The following is a 21,769-nucleotide window of genomic DNA, read 5'->3' on the forward strand; positions in this document are numbered from 1 at the left end:
GGAGGATGATGTCCTAACAGGAGACCATTTAGGACTCTATTGCCATAGTCCAGACACAAGATTTGATAGCTTGGAATAGGAGATGGTGGTGCAGTGCAAAAGGGTTGGATTTGGGTTATATTCTGAAGTTACTGATGACAAAATTTGCTGATGGTTTGGATGTGAGGTGTGAGGAAAAGAGAGGAGCTGAAATGACTCCAAAATTTTGGGCCCGAGTATCTGAGTTCAGGGTACATCTCAGTAAATGAGGGAATGATATGCATTGATAATATTCCCTCACAAGCAAAGGTGGCTGGAAATGTAGGCGGTTGGTGTCCTTTTTTCCAGGATCTGATCATTCCTAGGAAAGTTGAACAATGGGCTTCTAGATCCACAAAGGTAGGGAACAAATCTTGAAGTGTAGGGAGGCTGTTGAGACCTGAAAATCATTCTCTACCTTCCCACCATGCTCCTCCTCAGTTAGATCCACACTCTGTTGTCCTCTAGGATTAAATATAAAATACAAAGGAATGCCCGCATGGGGAGAGGAGTGAGCGCCCATCACTGAAGTATATGCACAGGCTGGATCAGTGGTTCCCAGGCTTTTGGATCATGGTGACCTGTAAAATTAAACGAGGCACCACTGATGGATGAATGGATAAGCAAAACTTGGTATACACATACAATGGAATATTATTCAGACTTTAAAAGGAAGAACATTCCGATATATGCCACAACGTAGGTAAATCTTGAGGGCATTATGCTAAGTGAAATAGGCCAGATACAAAAGAACAAATGCTGTATGAGTCCATTGATAAGAGGTACCTTCAATTCAAATATCAGAAAGTAGAATTGTGGTTGCCAGGGACTGGGAAGAGAGGGGGAATGAGGAGCTGTTGTTTAGTGGGAACAGAGTTTCAGATGAGATGGTAAAAAGGTTCTGGAGGTGAATGGTGGTGATAGTTGTACAACACTGTGAATGTACTTAATGCCACTGAACCATACACTTCAAAATGGTTAAAATGGTAAAAAGAAAAAATTAAGCAGACTAACATCATAACTTTCCCAACTTTTAGTTCTGTCCATTAAAGGTATTAAAAACCAAATTACAATCTGTCATAACCATTATGCCATCCAAAGAAATGAGACTTTTAACCCTAAGAAAGTAAGTGCTCTCAAGACACAGGATAATTCTTTGAATGGAAAAGTTTTAGCTTTATGGAAAAGCTAAACAATAAAATACGTGGCTTTAATTGCTTTTACATTCCACATTGGATTAGTGTGGCCAGTGTCTGCAAAGTCCTGGGATGGCTGGATGGCCTCTTGTTGGGAAAAGTGAGGAGGGACTCAAGGAGAGTTGGATTCAAGCCTTTTGTGACATATTTGCTTAAGGGATGCATGGATGGTTGGAAGGTGGGCTACAACTAGGGTGACCACATGGGACAGTCCTATTTGTACCTGCTACTCACCACAATCATTAAAAGTGCCCCCTGGTCACCTTCAAACCATACTTGTTTCGGTGCTAAATGCTGTGGCCACCCTGGTATCCCATCTGTGCAGGAGGAGCAGCTGGGCAGGGGGCCTCCTGCTAGGAGAATCTGCTCAGTGAGAGTCGTGCAATCTGTGTTTGTAAAGGGCCTTCCCAGGTCTTGGCAAGTGGCAGATTCTTGATACACGACAGTTGTTTTTATCCAGGCTGTCTAGAAAAAGCACAGGCTTCAGAGTCCTCAGATTTTGGACTGAATCCCTGTTTACTAGAGTTTTGACCTTCAGCGAGTTACTTAAATTCCCTTAGCCTCAGTTTCTTGTCTGCAAAGTAGGGTCAATGAAACCTCTCTCACAGGGTAGTTTGGAAGTGGAAAGGAAACATGCAAAAGGAAATATAACAACTTCCTTCCTTCCCTCCCTCCCTCCCTCCCTCCTTTGCCTCCCTCCCTTCCTCCCTTTCTATCAGGATGGCATATCTAGCCTCCTGATCTCAATCCCTCAGATTCTTCCTCAGACCCAGCTAGGAGGACCCTTCTTGACTGGCAAGGTGAGATTCAGCTCTGTCAGGGTGTCTACTTCCCCATTCACGATGGCTTATTTGAATACATTCTGCACTGGGACTACAGGTGTCTCTGCTAAGAAGTTAAGTATGAGGGTGGGGAAGGAGAGAGATGACTACTGAGACAAAGAAAACAGAAACCTCTGCTCTCAACGGGCTTGCATCTTCTTGGGGTTGAAACATCTATTCCCGCCTGAAGTGGTCCAAGAATCTTTCAACCGGTGCTCTCAAGGAGAGCAAAAGCTCTCTTCATTTCCAATTTTATTCCTAATTTTCTATCGACTTCTAAACATGATTTTTCAGTTTGGCACCCAATTGGTCTTTGGTTTTTCTCTACAGGTTGACTATTCACTGCTTGAGGACAGGAATGATGGTTCTCTTCTTGAAGGCCAGCACAAGCTGGAGAGTTCTAAGGGTTCTAAGCTACTCTTCTGGGCTCTGACAATGTCTTTGGGTTGGTACATGAAGAGGCTGACCAAGTCCATGATTTATTTGAGAGATATTGAATTAACTGGAAAATGATTTCTGCAGGGGAGGTACTTTTGCACTAGCATGTAAAAGGAAGGCAGGAAGGGTTTTAGTTGGCAGGAAGGCTGGGGAGCAGCTGTGTTGGAACCCCCCTACACCCAACTCTCCCTGGCCAGTCTTGGTCTTCTGCCTGGTACCCAGGGTGCTTCACAGACATCAGTGGAACAGGGATCATGCTTCAAGACCAGGCTCATGTTTCACCTCTTCTGAATCCTTCTGGAATTGCCCAGACAGGACTAGTCACTCCTCCCTCTGGGCTTCCGGAAGCAGTACACACTGGGGCATCCAATCATATTGCATTGTAATTATCCATGGGCTCCAGACGAAGTCCTCGAGGCAGAGGCTGTGTCATCACACCTCTTTCCCCAGCTCCTAGCACGGTGCCTGACCATAACAGGGACTCAGCATATGTTGAGTGAATGAGAATCAGGGATCAGCTTGTCTGGCACTGGTAGTGGTCAGGGAGGTCCCAAGGAATTGGGGGCTGGCTGAATGTCAGGGGCCACTGATTGTTAGGCTCCAGGGCTACAATCTGCTTGGCAATACATTCATTCCTCATTTCCCAGAGATTGTTCTCGTAATACACTGGCGGCATGCCCAAGCCAGGCTCTGACTAGTTCCTAAAACAAGTTAAATCTTTCCCTTTGGGACAATTCCATCAGCAGGGCTAGAGGAGCATGCTTCTCTTATGACCGTAGCTTTCACAGTCCTGGCCATTGGGTCATTTCCCCTTTGGTTCCTCAAAGACCCTCACAGCAGCCCTGTTATGCTTGGCTGGGTTTCTGGCTGGTGAACAGATGAGCTCTCTCTTCCCAGATCTTGGGGTGACGAGAGCTATATCCACACCCCCACCCATAGCTGCCTGTGCGTGGCTGTGATGGAAACTGGCTTCTCATCCAACAGATCTCAGTGGAGATTGGAAAGTGCTCATCGGAGGAGGGAGTTGTGTCATTGTTGGTACATGGATGGAAGCCAGGCTGCAAATGAGACTAGTCTTCCCATCGCCCTTGCTTTCTCCTCCAAGGGAAGGACAATGTCAGCTGCAGAGAGCCTGGGCACTATCTGCCTTGAATGGACTGAGTTTCATCAGATGAGAGTCACAGAGGTGAACCCCAGGATGACCAGACAATAGAAGGTGGAAATATCTGTGAAGTCCCAGTCCTAGGTAGTCCCTACTTGCAGGATGGTGCATTTTAACCCTTCAAGTCCTACTTAACACACCTGGGGCGTGAGCATGACTTTTTGCACATCTGTAAATTAGCCTCAACCTGAGTCATTTCAACAGACTCCGCCCTGCACGTGATCTCAGAGGGAGCCTGGGATTTGGGCCTTGGGAGTCCTTCCCTGCTGGATCTTTTGGCTAGGAGGCATGCAGGGGTATCCCTGAGCTATATATGGCCTAAAGGGAACACGCAGATGATTTACATCTCTCACTGAAAATGGAAGTGCAAATTTAGTTGAGAAGTAGAATAGAAAGGTGTGGAAAGAACACTGGATCAGGAGTCAATTCCAACTTTGATACTCACCCAGTTCTGTGAACTTGAGCTAATCATGTCATTTTATTTGGTGTTTTATTTCTAAAATTCATTTAGCAAAGATTAATATACATTTTGAGACAGAGTCTCGCTCTGTCACCCAGTCTGGAGTGCAGTGGCGCAATCTCGGCTCACCGCAGCCTCTGCCTCCTGGGTTCAAGTGATTCTCATGCCTCAGCCTCGCGAGTAGCTGGGATTTATAGATGTGTGCCACCCCCCGCCCCCAGCTAATTTTTGTGTGTGTGTGTGTGTGTGTGTGTGTGTTTTTAGAAGAGACGGGGTTTTGCCATGTTGGCCAGGCTGGTCTTAAACTCCTGACCTCAGGTGATCTTCCGGCTTCAGCCTCCCAAAGAGCTGGGATTACAGACGTGAGCCACTGCGCCCAGCTAAAGATTAATATACTTTTAAAATAAGTGTCTTGAACTATTTCATGTGCTTTACAAATAATAACTCATTTAACCTTTATAATAATCACTGACATAGGTATTATTATTAAAGCTATTTTATAGATGAGGAAAATGAAGGGCGGAAATGTTAAGTAACTTGCCCAGGGTAACACAGCTAATAAATTGTGGATTAAGTCTGAGGTCTCTCTGGATCTCAGAATCCTTATCTGTAAGATAAGGATAGAACTTGTTATCTTGGCCACATCAGCATTTAGTTCCTCCGTGTTCCCACTCCACTTGTATCAATGGACTGGTCAGCTCGTTTTTACATTGTACAGAGCTTCTTGGACAGAGCTTCACTTATACTTCTGCCACTATTGGAATGAAAGCACCCTAAAAAATGTAAGCCAGATGAAGACGTGGATCTTTGCCTGTTCATTGATGATAGCCCAAATGACTAGCGGACTGCCTGACACATAGTAGGCACTCAATAGATGCTATTGAATGAATGAACAGATTGATCCCATCACTCCGTGTTGTGATGAGACTGACCTAGCTCTTCCCCAAACATCGCTTTCTGAAGGCGTGGGCTGTGTCTTATTTATCTCTGGGTCTCTGGGCTCCAGCATATTCCTGGCACAGAAAGATGCTCACACTGAATGAATAAATCCACATCGTTGCCCTTTGTCTTAGGTCAGAAGTCGTCGTTAGTCAGGAAGGCATGAGCACACTTAAATGCTGTAATCCAATGGACATTGACACCAGTAAGCTAGGGAGTAATCTTTTGTGGTAAAAAAAAAAAAAGATAAGGTGGAGGAAATGGAGTTCTTTCAATTACTGTGTAACAAACCACTCTCTAATGTCTTAAAACAACAAAGATGTATTCTTTCTCCCAACAGTTGAGCAGTTTTCTGCTCTTATGTTGTGTAGCCAATGTTAGCCAAGTAGCTGCACTAAGCTGGGAGCCGCCTGGGGCTGGGACATCCAAGATGGCTTCCCATCCTTGGGCCCTCTCTTCCTCATGCGGTCTCTCATCTTCGTAGTGTAGTTGAAGGTTCTTTACAGTCCGACAGCTAGATTCCAAGAGGCAAGAAGAGAAAGCTTCCCAAACTCTTGAAGCCAGGCTTAGAAACTCTAGGACATTATTTCTACCATATTCATGTGGGCAAAGTAAATCGCAAGGCCCTACCAGATTCAAGGGGAGGGAAAGACAGACTTCACCTCTTGTTGTGAGGAGCAGATATATGTGGAAAGATGGGAGAAAGTGTTGGTGGCAATATTGGAGACTCTCTGTCACAAAGGTAGAAGAGGAGTGGTGGCAGAAACCCAAAATTATCCTCAGGCAAACAAGGAGCTGTTAAGGATTAGGCTGTGGTTTGCCTGCCAGAAAGTAACTGGTGTCCTACTCAGGTAATAGATACCTGGAGTGTTAAACTTCTCCAGTGTGTCCTGGGGAGTCTGAGCTGACCAGGCCACTTGGAGCTATCAACTTTCATATTCTTCTTTTCCAGGTTATGACACCTGGAAAAGGCATGGAGAGAAGTGATGTGCACAGCACACTGCGAGGCTGTGCAGGACCAGGGCTGCTATTGCCAAGTGGTTAAGAGCATGGCTGTTGGGGTCAAATGTTGATTTTGTCACCAAAAAGACTAGGCAATTCATAGTATCTTATGGAATTCCACCTCCTTCTTTATTTAATGTGGATACTCATACCTTCTTTATAGGGCAAAATAGATCGTGGTGAATAGTATGAGATCCGGAACCAGACTGCCTGAGTTCAAAACCTAGCTTTCCCACCAATCACCTGCATTACCTTGGAAAAAATACTTAATTACCCTATGCATCAGTTTCTGATTCTGTAAAGTGGAGATAATAATATAATAATGTAATTTAGATTGGTGCAACCTAAATTGAAAGTAATGACAAAAACCCCAATTACTTTTGCACCAACCTAATAATATTATATAATAATATTACAACAACAATATTGTATTATTGTATTATATAATGTACATATAATATATAATATTTAATAAACATAATATCACAATAATCATAGTGTACAGAGTTGTGAGGATCCAATGGGTTTGTAGAAACATCTAGAACAATGCCTAGCACAGGATTCACAATCAGTGGATGTTATCTACACTTATTAGAGTGTGTTGATGAAAATTAAAATGAGATAATGCTTGCAAAAGCCTAGTACATGTCTTGCCCATGGTAAGTGATGGCTCTTTTTGTTAGGAAAATGGGTCCTTTGTCCATTTACTCTCTTTCCATGCTTGCCCTTGGGGAACTTTGGAGCAAAGAACCCCAAAGTCTCTCTTTAATTGTTCTTCTGCAAGCAATGAGCATCTTATCTAATTGGCTAGATAGAGTATGTGATTTACTGTGCTGCTGTTTATTAGTGGGCAGGGAGAGTCACCCTCAGGCAGGGGCAGACTTCACCATCCCCCTTACCTGGCTTGTGCCTTCTTCCTGCCTTCCTGGGGGAGTCCACCAAAGGGGAATGTGCCATTAAAAGAGGAAATGCCTTTTTCTGCCTGTCACAGGCTCACCTCTGACTAGACAGATGAATTCCAGATACACACGAGATTGAATCCCTTCTTTAATAATTTCTGGTTTGTTGTTACTGTATCTTGGTGTCCTCATCTGTATGATGGGAATAGCAATAGCATCTACCTTAGAGATTTCTTGGAAGAGTCAAATGAGGCAATATTTATGGGAAGGGCTTATATTGTGCCTGGCACAGAGCAAGTGGTTAACTATAGTTAGTAGATTATGGTTGTTGTTATTGTTATGTACATGCAAAGGCCCAGCTAAAATGCTCCCTTTCTCTGGGAATTCTCCCAAGCTCCTCCAGGTGGAAGTTTGGAAGTTAGCATTCTTGGAGCTGGGCGTGGTGGTTCCAGAGGCAGGAGAACTGCTTGAGGCCAGGTGTTTGAGGTCAGCTTGGGCAACATAGTGAGACCCTGTCTCTTTACCAAAAAAAAAAAAAAGAAAAAAAAGGAAGTTAGCGTTTTCTTCTCCTGGGCTTTCTTTTCACCCTTTCTCTAGTTTTTTTGATAGCGTATTTCCTTCCAGTGTTGATTTAGAATAGTTGAGAAGTGAATCTTCTCCTTCATGGTAAGCTCAGAGGTGAGGTTTTGTGCTAGAATCAGCCCTTATGCCTCATTGATCTGTCCCATGTCTGGGCACAAAACAGAACAAGTATCCACTGTGCCATTTACAACTGTTAATAGAGCACTTACTATGTGCTAAGTCTTTAGGCTGCCCTTTTGTGATGCCTTTATCTCTTTAAGGCTGCTTGGGATGTTTCTTTTACTTTGATCTCACTAGCAGTGAATTACTGGGGTGGGAGGAGCAAGCTGTTACTCTCTCCAGGGCAGGAGACAGACTTTGGTCAAGCATCTCACAGTTGTGTAGCTTTCAGCCCCTTGCTACCTTAAGCCTCATGTTCCTTAGTAAAATGCAGGTCACACCACTTCGCTGTCATTGTTGGGATTCAACAGAATAATTTGTGTCAAAATGCCTGTAGACAGTAGGCCTTTTCCAAATATAATCACTCACCTCTGGCTATGCCTGGGAGCAATTTTGTGGTCCTAAAATGTATTGCAATTGTTGCAGGTGCCCTCATAGGAGGTGCCCTGTTGGAGATTTAACTTGAGCTTTTGTTATTTTCTTTAGTGAGGAAGTTGCCAGTTACAGCAAGGTACAGGCAGGAAAAGAAAGGCACTAAGGCCAGTTTCCATGAGAAGGGCAGGTGCAGTGCAGGCAGCACTCATTCTCTTGAGGCAAAGGTATTAAAAGATGTTTCCCGACCGGGCGCAGTGGCTCACACCTGTAATCCCAATATTTTGGGAGGCCGAGGTGGGCGGATCACTTGAGGTCAGGAGTTCGAGACCTGTCTGGCCAACATGACAAAACCCTGTCTCTACTAAAAAACACAAAAATTAGCCGGGTGTGGTGGTGCATGTCTGTAGTCTCAGCTACTTGGGAGACTGAGGCAGGAGAATCGTTTGTACCTGGGAGGCAGAGGTTGCAGTGAGTTGAGATTGCGCCACTGCATTCCAGCCTGGGTGACAGAGCGAGACTCTGTCGCAAAAAAAAAAAAAATTTCCCTTTCTGGAGATTTCAAAAAGAGAAGGTGTTTCTTGCAGTAGTCATAGGGCGGGTAAAAAGGGATTTGTGAGTGGTGGAAAGTAGACCAAGTTCTGATTTAGTGTTCTTGATGTTCTCTTGTATCCTGATAAATAGCTGAGTATGAGAAAAGGAATTAGAATTATACTTTCAGAGCTCGACATGGGGCCCCTGGCTGCAGGTCAGGGATTTGGTCTCGCCATTTGCATGTATCCAAGAAATTATGTAGGTGTAAGCCTCCACAGTGACACTATATGGCAGTGAGAACCTGTGAGAGGTCCGTGGCATTTGCAAATTGAACAGACACCAGTTCCTCTGTGCCTGATGTCTGAAGAGGACTCATTTTTGTTTTCACTTGGCCTCCCCAGGGTTTTGGGACAATTTGTTGGGAGCAGAGGAAACTTTCAGAGGAAAATTCTGGACTTCCTGCTTTTAATGTAGGTGACTGCTTAAGAGATGTTTCAGAAAAATAAGTGTAATGTGATGGTATTTGTGCTCTGAGTTTATGGAGCAGTTCATACTGGTTATACTAATCATCCCAGAGGGCATTGTGAAATCCCGGTCTTAATTAACTTGTGTCTTGAGGATTACAGGATGAATGGTTCTTCTGAGGGGAGGAGATAGTCTGTTTCCTGGGCAGGGACGTGGTGAAGAACGAGGTACGTCCGGGATCCAGTCAGAGGTTATTGGCCTGGGTCGTGAGTCTGTCAAGGGGAGTTGTGGGAAGAGATGAAACTGTAGGTGACTTCTGGGCCATGGAAAACCTTGAATGCCTCACTAAGGGGTTTGGGGTACAGCTTTTGGCCACTTGGGAGGAGTGGGTCTCTCTGGCTGTAACCATAAGGGGTTTCAGGGCTGAAAGAACTCTCCGTCTCCTGAGTGCTGACGCAGTCTCCAAAATGGCCACCTCTCTGGGCATCCCAGCGCTATCAGGCCTCAAACTCCTTATCCGCAGTTCGTTCTCAAAAAACAGCCAACGCGGCAGCTCCGGGTGACCAGGATTGCAACACCAAATGTGTTTGTTCCCCATGTTTGTGAAATACCTCAGAGGCACTGTTCCAGTGCCACCTGACTAGTTTTCTGATTGCCACATGGCCCTGGCTCTATCTGCCAATACTCAACCGGGGCTGACTGGTCAGAGATTTTGAGATGTTTGTGGGTTCAAACATAGAAACCTCATTAATGTCTGCTTGGGTGAGGAGATTTTACCTCCTCAAAGCTTCTGAATAACACTTATCGGACTTGGAGGCGGCTCTGGTGGCCTGGAGTAAGCAGTGTGACCTTGGACCAGTCACAATCTCTCTGAGCTTTAATTCCTTCAACTGCGTAATGAGGATACTAATTCTTACTTTGCAGGATTGTGACCCACAAGTATGCTATACAGATGGCAGGTCAAGAATCAGCTCACTCACCAGGCTTCCTGCCCCATAGGTCACTAAAAAGCAAGCGTGACCTCAAATTTCCGAGTTGTTAAAATTCAATCTTGCATTTAATTTTTGCAAATGAATTGCTGTCAACCTTTGACTGAGAGCAGGAAGAAGCCTGGCTAATATATAACATAATGGGAACTCAGAAGCCCCTGGAAATTGGCTGAGGATTGGTCCCGTGGTACTCTGCCTAAGGAAGGGGGTTGCAAGGGATATTTGGCCTTGTGTGTCACTTCTTTCATTGACCTCCTACCAAAGGGAAAAAAACTGAAGTTGCAGAGGGGAGGGGCTGACTGTTTTGGGGCTTTGATTATGTGCCAAGCACACAGAGAATAGTTTTGCATATGTTTTCTCATTTTGTCATCTCCTCCATCCTAAGAAGTAGCCAGTATTACCCCTAAATAACAGTTACTCATTCAGTAAATATTTGTTGAGTGATTACTGTGTGCTAGCTATTGTTCTAGGAACTAGAACATATGAGAAACTGAGGTCCAAGGTGGTGATAGGACTCGGTCAAAGTCACACAGCTGCTGTGTGGCCAATCTGCATACAATCCCACCTCTCCTGGGATTGATTCCGAGGTTGTTTTCATTCCAGGTGCTGGACAGACATAGACACACATATATGCACACCTAGTACATACACCCAAACACATCCACACTCGTGCACACACCTGCATATGCACATGTATAAGCACACACAGTCACGTGCACACACACATCGTGCAAACACACACATTTTCACACACACACTAATGCTCACACACACATACGCATGCACAAATATGCCCACAGATGCATACCACATACACTATTCTAACATATTCACAAACACATGTGCACTTGCACACATTTTCATACACACTATACCATTTATTGGGGAAAACTGTTTTCAAACTTTTGGCATATTTCAGATAAGCAATATTATCAGACACAATCTCAAAGATTTCATTCTCTGTAGCTCCCTCCCTCCCTCTGTCTCTTCTTCCCTCTCTTCCTTCCCCCTTCCTTTCCTTCCTTCCTTTCTCCCTCCCATCTCTTCCCTTCCTCCTCCTTTCTCTTCTTTCTCTCCCCATTTCGAAACCAGACTTCTCTTCCTTTTTCTAGTCAAGAATTTTTCATTTGTTTTTCTTTTAAGACAGAGTCTCACTCTCTCGCCCAGGTTGGAGTACAGTGGTGTGATCTTGGCTCACTGCAACCTCTGCTTCCCATGCTCAGGTGATCCTCCAGCCTCAGCCTCCTGAGTAGCTGGGAAAACAGGTATGAACCACCATGCCCGGCTACCTTTTTGTATTTTTTTTTGTAGAGACAGAGTTTTACCATGTTGCTCAGGCTGGTCTTGAACTCCTGAGCTCAAAGGAATTCACCCGCCTTGGCCTCCCAAAGTGCTGGGATTACAGGCATGAGCAACCGTGCCTGGCCTAGCCATGAAATCTTAGGGAATTATCAGGACTATCAGACTCATGTTGGAATTTTCAACCAGAAAGTAAAGACTCCCTCCAGGGCTACCAAAAGCTGAATCTGTTTGCCAAATTCTGCCTAGGTTCTTTCCTGCATGCAGCTGCATAATACCCAGAGTCCCCTCCCCACCATCAGGCATGGCATGCTCAGGTTCAAGTCAAGCTCTTGCAGCCAGGCGTCCCCAGCCCCAGCACCCACCTACCAGCTCTCCCGTGCATGTGCCAAGTGCCTGTGAAGGCCTCTTCCAAGTCTTTCATCACCCCTCAGGGTGGGGATGCATCTATTTCTGTGTTTCAACACTTTGCTTCCACCTGGCATTTCATTTGCCAGCTAATAGGTGAAGTAACTCATCTTGCTACTGGCAACATGGAAACTGTGCTTTATGGGGAGCTGTGCTCTGGTCCATAAAGTGTTTGCAGGGGCATGGCAAGTCCAACCTGGAGTCCTTAGTGGCCACCAGGAGGTAGGCCGGGTTGCTGGGCTTCAGTCAAGCTCATCAGTACAGGAGAATCAAACTCTTCAGAGTATTTCATCATCCCAGTGGCTCAAGGTGCGGGTGGTGGTATTTGAGAAACTTTGGCAACTCCCGTGTCTCAGTCTCTGAAGAGTGCCAACAGAGTCACCTTTCCCAACTCATCTATTTTCTTTGGTATCAGGGACTTCTCTCACTCAATAAATCTAAATCACCTTTGCTTTTACCACGAAAGGATATCGAAAGTGTGCTTAGAGACTCCAAGTTCTCATTGGGACCGTTGGACTCCAGGGTCTAGCATTTACCCAACTGGCCACATTGCCCAACTGGGTGCATTTGCTAGAGGCAGGTCGTTAAGTTCAAGTGCTTGTAAACAATTCCCAGGGAGCGGGGACAGCCAATTCTGCAGACAGCTTAGGAATGGTTTTACCAACATGCACTTCATCTGGGGCAAGCTGCCTGTACTATGAGCACGCACACAGACACATATATACATGCACACACATATCCCACTGGAGAAGATAAAACAGGAAGATGGAAATAGGAGCTCTAGTGAAGATGATGTCGTGGAGGAGAACAGCACCCAGTAAGAGAAGGGGAGCCCAACACCAGGTGCCTCATGGGCATCAGGCCAGACTTTGGGATTGTTTAGAGATAAAGAAATGGACTTCCGGAGGTGGGGTTCTCCTGGGCACTGAGCCTAAAGCCTTATATGGTGATTACTTACAATCAAGTCTTATGTTGTAACTAGACCATAAACCCTCAGCAGGTAGGGATCAGGGCTCCTACTTATTTTCCCTCTTCTGTTCCACTCTAACTCAGAGCCTTATGCATAGACAGTGTTCACTAAATGCCTGAAAGGAAAGGAGCTTAGGCTACATTTATATCACATGCTGTCATGTTCAAACCTTTTACCGTGAGTTAGCCCCTTCTGGTTGCTGAGCTCACTTTCAGTCATGTGACCTCCTCTGCTCCTTTGTCCGGCACCCATTACCATGGGGAACAGCGTCAGGCTTCGGTGAACTGTCTTCTAGCAGGGAGGCAAGATTTACACATACAGAGCAGCGTGTGATCACAGGCTACAGTGGATTCACTGAAGCGTTGTAAGTTTAGACAACACGTTGGTCCTGTGACAGCCAGTAAAAGGAGTATTTATCTCCTCCATTAAGAGGAGCTATGAGGGAGGCATCCTTGGAGCAAGTGAGATTAAGGGGTGGCCTTGTGAGAAGGAAGAGAAGAGACTGGTTCAGGCCAAAGGAATGGCGGGAGGAAAGGGACAGTGCCAGGCGCACACATTCGTTTGCTCTTTGTTCCTCTTGTTTACTCATTCATCCATCCAAAAATACTTAATGAGCCCTGCTGTGTGCCAGGCACTGTTCCAGCTTTAGGGACAGAGCTGTGGGCACCTCTAGTCCCTAAAGTTTATAAAGATAACAAACAAATATTACAAGTGAGCAAAGCATTAGCTAGAAAAGCACTGGGTGTCTTAAGGGCATTGAATAGGCAGGGGCAGAAAGAGGGCTAACAAGGGCTGAAGGATAAGGGGGGCAGCCTGGAAATGTGACATGAGGCGTTGAGGAATAGCAAGAAGTGTTCCAAGCATGAAGTTCCAGGGACAGGAATGAGCTAGACTCTCAAAAGTCACTTGAAGTCCTGCGTGGCCAGAGTGTAGGAAGTCTAGGGAAGGGCAGTGGGGTGGAGGGAGGAGTGAGTGAACAAGTTGGGGTGGGAAGGTGAGGAGTAGGGGGTGGATAAGGTCAGGCAGAGGTCACACAGAACCTTCTGGGCCATGATAAGGATTTTAGACTTCTTCTAAGGTAAGCCAAGCAAGTAACGCTATTGACTTGAAAGTGGGTGCAAGTAGTGTAAAGATGCAACAGCCCCATGAAATATTCCGGGCAGGAATCTCTAGGGTGGGGAGTGAAGGGAGAGAGAAGCATCAAGGATGAGTCTAGGGCTCCTTGCTTAAGTAACTGGTCAGGTGGGACTTCTGTTTACTGAGGTAAGGAGCACAGGAAGGGGACAGGTTTGTGGGGGACAGGTATTAGGGGATGACACAGTTTTGCAAATGTGGGTTGGAGGGTTTATGAGATTCCTGCATGGATATTGAAGATCTCATTTGGAACCCCTGAGAAGATATCCTCTTTTTCTTTCTGCTTTTCCCTTTCCTGGGCCTTGGTCTCTTGAATATGTTCCATGAACAATCTTTTATTGTCACTAGCCCTGGTTGGCTGTGAGAGGAGAGGTCAGCTGCCAAGTGTCTATTCCAAGGTGTATTTGTCCATTTTTCTTTGCTATAAAGAAATACCTGAGACTGTGTAATTTATAAAGAAAAGAGGTTTATTTGGCTCATGGTTCTGCAGGCTGTGCAAGCATGGCACAAACATCTTGACTTCTAGTGAGGCCTCAGGAAGCTTTTACTCATGGTAGAAGGTGAAGGGGGAGCCAGCATGTCATGGTGAAAGATGGATCAAGAGAGAGAGACACAGGAAGAGGTTCCAGGCTCCTTTAAACAACCAGCTCTCTTGTAAATTAACAGCTCCAGAACTCACCCATTACTGTAGGGAGGGCACCAAGCCATTCATGAAGGATCCACCCTACTATGACCCCAACACTTCCCACTAGGCCCTACCTCCAACATTGGGGATCACATTTCAACATGACATTCGAAGGGGACACAGATCCAAACTATATCACTAGGTAAGCACAACTCCCAATGTATGAAGGTTCATTGGAAGGTTCATTCACTGTTGGAATGATAGAAATTATTCCATTCCATTTCATCCCATTCATTTTGTTCAACTCAACCAGTACTTTCTTTTTTCTTTTTTGAGGTGGAGTTTTGCTCTGTCTCCAGGCTGGAGTGCAGTGGCACAATCTCAGCTCACTGCAACCTCTGCCTCCCGGGTTCAAGTGATTCTCCTGCCTCAGCCTCCTGAGTAGCTGCGACTACAGGCACCTGCCACCATGCCAGGCTAATTTTTGTATTTCAAGTAGAGACGGGGTTTCACCATGTTGGCCAGGATGATCTCGATCTCTTGACTTCATGATCCACCCACCTTGGCCTCCCAGAGTGTTGGGATTACAGGCGTGAGCCACCACGCCCAGCTTCAACCAGTATTTTCTGTGTGCCTGCCCTGTACCCAGCATAGGCTCATGGCGTTAACATGACCACTAGGGAGCCAGTCATGCAAGATAAAATTTTACACTTTCTGGAAGCATAGACAAAGTACCCTGGGAGAAGAGTCAAAAGGTATTTGAACTCATTTCCTCATGTTTTTCCTAAGCAGAAACTGAGGCCCAGAGAAATGAAGAAACTTCCCTGAGTTGACATAGTGTTTAGAAGCAGAGGCAGAGTTGGAACCCAGTTCTGAGTCCCAGACTAACGTGTCTGTCAGCATTGTATGAGGCCTCCTATTGGCACACATCTTTCCATAAGTGACATGACATAGACAGGGCAGGAGAGTTTGACAGGAAAGAACTCTAGCTCTAGAGTCAGACAGTTCTGGGTTCAAATTCTGGCTCTGATATTTGTGACCTTGGGCAAGTTATCAACTTCCCTAAGGTTTAGTTTCTCTATTTCTAAAGTGAATTAGTTCTAAAGTACCTCTGGAACTAATAACAGTATTTCCAATGTCTGCCTATATTGAGGATTGAATGAGTAGTGCTTATGAAGCATGACTTACTCACCACTTCTCACCCCCTGCACTGCTACCACTCTGGTTGAAGCCCCTGTCATTATCGGCCTGGATCTGGGCTATTTTTTGGGGTCTGCTTTCACCCTAGAAATACCATCTGAGTGGAGCTTCTTGTGTAATTGATTTATTACGTAAGGGATGTAGGAGAACCCTGTATGGAAGTGTGGGAGGCTGGAGAGGGCAATGGAAGGGGTTCAGCAGAGATATGGTTTCAGCTGGAGAACAGCCTCAGTCTGATCCCATGGGCAGTCTGAAGCATGAATGGCACCACAGAGCTGGTCCCTCCTTGTGGCTAAGGGGCTGGGTATTCTACTTCCAGTTAGTTGGGGGTTTGTGACTCCTAGACATTTCCCTGTGAGACGATTCCTGACTATCCACAGAGGTAATACTCTGGAGAAGGGTGCATTGCTCACAGCAGCTTGAGGGTGGCTGTGTTGGCTGGGACCGCAAAGAGATCTTGGGTGAGGCCCCAACACTTTGATGCTAGCACATCTTTAAACACTCACAGAGCGTGAGCGACGCAGAAGACGGTGATTTCTGCATTTCCATCTGAGGTACCGGGTTCATCTCACTAGGGAGTGCCAGACAGTGGGCGCAGGCCAGTGTGTGTGCGCACCGTGCGCGAGCCGAAGCAGGGCGAGGCATTGCCTCACCTGGGAAGCGCAAGGGGTCAGGGAGTTCCCTTTCCGAGTCAAAGAAAGGGGTGACGGACGCACCTGGAAAATCGGGTCACTCCCACCCAAATATTGCGCTTTTCAGACCGGCTTAAGAAACGGCGCACCACGAGACTATATCCCACACCTGGCTCGGAGGGTCCTACGCCCACGGAATCTCGCTGATTGCTAGCACAGCAGTCTGAGATCAAACTGCAAGGCGGCAACGAGGCTGGGGGAGGGGCGCCCGCCATTGCCCAGGCTTGCTTAGGTAAACAAAGCAGCCGGGAAGCTCAAACTGGGTGGAGCCCACCACAGCTCAAGGAGGCCTGCCTGCCTCTGTAGGCTCCACCTCTGGGGGCAGGGCACAGACAAACAAAAAGACAGCAGTAACCTCTGCAGACTTAAGTGTCCCTGTCTGACAGCTTTGAAGAGAGCAGTGGTTCTCCCAGCACGCAGCTGGAGATCTGAGAACGGGCAGACTGCCTCCTCAAGTGGGTCCCTGACTCCTGACCCCCGAGCAGCCTAACTGGGAGGCACCCCCCAGCAGGGGCACACTGACACCTCACACGGCAGGGTATTCCAACAGACCTGCAGCTGAGGGTCCTGTCTGTTAGAAGGAAAACTAACAACCAGAAAGGACATCTACACCGAAAACCCATCTGTACATCACCATCATCAAAGACCAAAAGTAGATAAAACCACAAAGATGGGGAAAAAACAGAACAGAAAAACTGGAAACTCTAAAACGCAGAGCGCCTCTCCTCCTCCAAAGGAACGCAGTTCCTCACCAGCAACAGAACAAAGCTGGATGGAGAATGATTTTGATGAGCTGAGAGAAGAAGGCTTCAGACGATCAAATTACTCTGAGCTACGGGAGGACATTCAAACCAAAGGCAAAGAAGTTGAAAACTTTGAAAAAAATTTAGAAGAATGTATAACTAGAATAACCAATACAGAGAAGTGCTTAAAGGAGCTGATGGAGCTGAAAACCAAGGCTCGAGAACTACGTGAAGAATGCAGAAGCCTCAGGAGCCGATGCGATCAACTGGAAGAAAGGGTATCAGCAATGGAAGATGAAATGAATGAAATGAAGCGAGAAGGGAAGTTTAGAGAAAAAAGAATAAAAAGAAATGAGCAAAGCCTCCAAGAAATATGGGACTATGTGAAAAGACCAAATCTACGTCTGATTGGTGTACCTGAAAGTGATGTGGAGAATGGAACCAAGTTGGAAAACACTCTGCAGGATATTATCCAGGAGAACTTCCCCAATCTAGCAAGGCAGGCCAACGTTCAGATTCAGGAAATACAGAGAACGCCACAAAGATACTCCTCGAGAAGAGCAACTCCAAGACACATAATTGTCAGATTCACCAAAGTTGAAATGAAGGAAAAAATGTTAAGGGCAGCCAGAGAGAAAGGTCGGGTTACCCTCAAAGGAAAGCCCATCAGACTAACAGCGGATCTCTCGGCAGAAACCCTACAAGCCAGAAGAGAGTGGGGGCCAATATTCAACATTCTTAAAGAAAAGAATTTTCAACCCAGAATTTCACATCCAGCCAAACTAAGCTTCATAAGTGAAGGAGAAATAAAATACTTTATAGACAAGCAAATGTTGAGAGATTTTGTCACCACCAGGCCTGCCCTAAAAGAGCTCCTGAAGGAAGCGCTAAACATGGAAAGGAACAACCGGTACCAGCCGCTGCAAAACCATGCCAAAATGTAAAGACCATCGAGACTAGGAAGAAACTGCATCAACTAATGAGCAAAATCACCAGCTAACATCATAATGACAGGATCAAATTCACACATAACAATATTAACTTTAAATATAAATGGACTAAATTCTGCAATTAAAAGACACAGACTGGCAAGTTGGATAAAGAGTCAAGACCCATCAGTGTGCTGTATTCAGGAAACCCATCTCACGTGCAGAGACACACATAGGCTCAAAATAAAAGGATGGAGGAAGATCTACCAAGCCAATGGAAAACAAAAAAAGGCAGGGGTTGCAATCCTAGTCTCTGATAAAACAGACTTTAAACCAACAAAGATCAAAAGAGACAAAGAAGGCCATTACATAATGGTAAAGGGATCAATTCAACAAGAGGAGCTAACTATCCTAAATATTTATGCACCCAATACAGGAGCACCCAGATTCATAAAGCAAGTCCTCAGTGACCTACAAAGAGACTTAGACTCCCACACATTAATAATGGGAGACTTTAACACCCCACTGTCAACATTAGACAGATCAACGAGACAGAAAGTCAACAAGGATACCCAGGAATTGAACTCAGCTCTGCACCAAGCAGACCTAATAGACATCTACAGAACTCTCCACCCCAAATCAACAGAATATACATTTTTTTCAGCACCACACCACACCTATTCCAAAATTGACCACATAGTTGGAAGTAAAGCTCTCCTCAGCAAATGTAAAAGAACAGAAATTATAACAAACTATCTCTCAGACCACAGTGCAATCAAACTAGAACTCAGGATTAAGAATCTCACTCAAAGCCGCTCAACTACATGGAAACTGAACAACCTGCTCCTGAATGACTACTGGGTACATAACGAAATGAAGGCAGAAATAAAGATGTTCTTTGAAACCAACGAGAACAAAGACACCACATACCAGAATCTCTGGGACGCATTCAAAGCAGTGTGTAGAGGGAAATTTATAGCACTAAATGCCTACAAGAGAAAGCAGGAAAGATCCAAAATTGACACCCTAACATCACAATTAAAAGAACTAGAAAAGCAAGAGCAAACACATTCAAAAGCTAGCAGAAGGCAAGAAATAACTAAAATCAGAGCAGAACTGAAGGAAATAGAGACACAAAAAACCCTTCAAAAAATCAATGAATCCAGGAGCTGGTTTTTTGAAAGGATCAACAAAATTGATAGACCGCTAGCAAGACTAATAAAGAAAAAAAGAGAGAAGAATCAAATAGACACAATAAAAAATGATAAAGGGGATATCACCACCGATCCCACAGAAATACAAACTACCATCAGAGAATACTACAAACACCTCTACGCAAATAAACTAGAAAATCTAGAAGAAATGGATACATTCCTCGACACATACACTCTCCCAAGACTAAACCAGGAAGAAGTTGAATCTCTGAATCGACCAATAACAGGCTCTGAAATTGTGGCAATAATCAATAGTTTACCAACCAAAAAGAGTCCAGGACCAGATGGATTCACAGCCGAATTCTACCAGAGGTACAAGGAGGAACTGGTACCATTCCTTCTGAAACTATTCCAATCAATAGAAAAAGAGGGAATCCTCCCTAACTCATTTTATGAGGCCAGCATCATTCTGATACCAAAGCCGGGCAGAGACACAACCAAAAAAGAGAATTTTAGACCAATATCCTTGATGAACATTGATGCAAAAATCCTCAATAAAATACTGGCAAACCGAATCCAGCAGCACATCAAAAAGCTTATCCACCATGATCAAGTGGGCTTCATCCCTGGGATGCAAGGCTGGTTCAATATACGCAAATCAATAAATGTAATCCAGCATATAAACAGAGCCAAAGACAAAAACCACATGATTATCTCAATAGATGCAGAAAAAGCCTTTGACAAAATTCAACAACCCTTCATGCTAAAAACTCTCAATAAATTAGGTATTGATGGGACGTATTTCAAAATAATAAGAGCTATCTATGACAAACCCACAGCCAATATCATACTGAATGGGCAAAAACTGGAAGCATTCCCTTTGAAAACCGGCACAAGACAGGGATGCCCTCTCTCACCGCTCCTATTCAACATAGTGTTGGAAGTTCTGGCCAGGGCAATCAGGCAGGAGAAGGAAATAAAGGGTATTCAATTAGGAAAAGAGGAAGTCAAATTGTCCCTGTTTGCAGACGACATGATTGTTTATCTAGAAAACCCCATCGTCTCAGCCCAAAATCTCCTTAAGCTGATAAGCAACTTCAGCAAAGTCTCAGGATACAAAATCAATGTACAAAAATCACAAGCATTCTTATACACCAACAACAGACAAACAGAGAGCCAAATCATGGGTGAACTCCCATTCACAATTGCTTCAAAGAGAATAAAATACCTAGGAATCCAACTTACAAGGGATGTGAAGGACCTCTTCAAGGAGAACTACAAACCACTGCTCAAGGAAATAAAAGAGGAGACAAACAAATGGAAGAACATTCCATGCTCATGGGTAGGAAGAATCAATATCGTGAAAATGGCCATACTGCCCAAGGTAATTTACAGATTCAATGCCATCCCCATCAAGCTACCAATGACTTTCTTCACAGAATTGGAAAAAACTACTTTAAAGTTCATATGGAACCAAAAAAGAGCCCGCATTGCCAAGTCAATCCTAAGCCAAAAGAACAAAGCTGGAGGCATCACACTACCTGACTTCAAACTATACTACAAGGCTACAGTAACCAAAACAGCATGGTACTGGTACCAAAACAGAGATATAGATCAATGGAACAGAACAGAGCCCTCAGAAATAATGCCGCATATCTACAACTATCTGATCTTTGACAAACCTGAGAAAAACAAGCAATGGGGAAAGGATTCCCTATTTAATAAATGGTGCTGGGAAAACTGGCTAGCCATATGTAGAAAGCTGAAACTGGATCCCTTCCTTACACCTTATACAAAAATCAATTCAAGATGGATTAAAGATTTAAACGTTAAACCTAAAACCATAAAAACCCTAGAAGAAAACCTAGGCATTACCATTCAGGACATAGGCGTGGGCAAGGACTTCATGTCCAAAACACCAAAAGCAATGGCAACAAAAGACAAAATTGACAAATGGGATCTAATTAAACTAAAGAGCTTCTGCACAGCAAAAGAAACTACCATCAGAGTGAACAGGCAACCTACAACATGGGAGAAAATTTTTGCAACCTACTCATCTGACAAAGGGCTAATATCCAGAATCTACAATGAACTCAAACAAATTTACAAGAAAAAAACAAACAACCCCATCAAAAAGTGGGCGAAGGACATGAACAGACACTTCTCAAAAGAAGACATTTATGCAGCCAAAAAACACATGAAGAAATGCTCATCATCACTGGCCATCAGAGAAATGCAAATCAAAACCACTATGAGATATCATCTCACACCAGTTAGAATGGCAATCATTAAAAAGTCAGGAAACAACAGGTGCTGGAGAGGATGTGGAGAAATAGGAACACTTTTACACTGTTGGTGGGACTGTAAACTAGTTCAACCATTGTGGAAGTCAGTGTGGCGATTCCTCAGGGATCTAGAACTAGAAATACCATTTGACCCAGCCATCCCATTACTGGGTATATACCCAAATGAGTTTAAATCATGCTGCTATAAAGACACATGCACACGTATGTTTATTGCGGCACTATTCACAATAGCAAAGACTTGGAACCAACCCAAATGTCCAACAATGATAGACT

At 44.7% G+C, this 21,769-nt stretch overlaps 1 long non-coding RNA gene across 2 annotated transcripts in view, besides 3 other annotated features; it reads left to right on the top strand.

Annotated features, from left to right (window-relative positions):
- LINC02964 (long intergenic non-protein coding RNA 2964) overlaps window positions 1-21,769 on the top strand; it is a 160,228-nt gene that overhangs the window by 46,800 nt on the left and 91,659 nt on the right. The window contains exon 1 of one of the 2 annotated variants that reach the window (XR_007061095.1): window positions 13,682-13,791. The exons of the other annotated variant lie outside the window; for it this stretch is intronic. This is a non-coding gene — a long non-coding RNA (long intergenic non-protein coding RNA 2964). Of the gene's footprint in view, window positions 1-13,681; window positions 13,792-21,769 lie in introns of those variants that run through there. 2 annotated transcript variants of the gene reach the window in all.
- Window positions 1,945-1,994: an enhancer, noted in NCBI's record as "active region_27920". NCBI's record gives its function as "activates an Ori minimal core promoter by ATAC-STARR-seq in GM12878 lymphoblastoid cells {active_cell/tissue: GM12878}" and the evidence as "EXISTENCE:reporter gene assay evidence [ECO:0000049][PMID:35858748]".
- Window positions 12,791-12,890: an enhancer, noted in NCBI's record as "active region_27921". NCBI's record gives its function as "activates an Ori minimal core promoter by ATAC-STARR-seq in GM12878 lymphoblastoid cells {active_cell/tissue: GM12878}" and the evidence as "EXISTENCE:reporter gene assay evidence [ECO:0000049][PMID:35858748]".
- Window positions 13,151-13,280: an enhancer, noted in NCBI's record as "active region_27922". NCBI's record gives its function as "activates an Ori minimal core promoter by ATAC-STARR-seq in GM12878 lymphoblastoid cells {active_cell/tissue: GM12878}" and the evidence as "EXISTENCE:reporter gene assay evidence [ECO:0000049][PMID:35858748]".

Source organism: Homo sapiens, chromosome 8, assembly GCF_000001405.40.
Source record: "Homo sapiens chromosome 8, GRCh38.p14 Primary Assembly".
Classification (NCBI taxonomy): domain Eukaryota; kingdom Metazoa; phylum Chordata; class Mammalia; order Primates; family Hominidae; genus Homo; species Homo sapiens.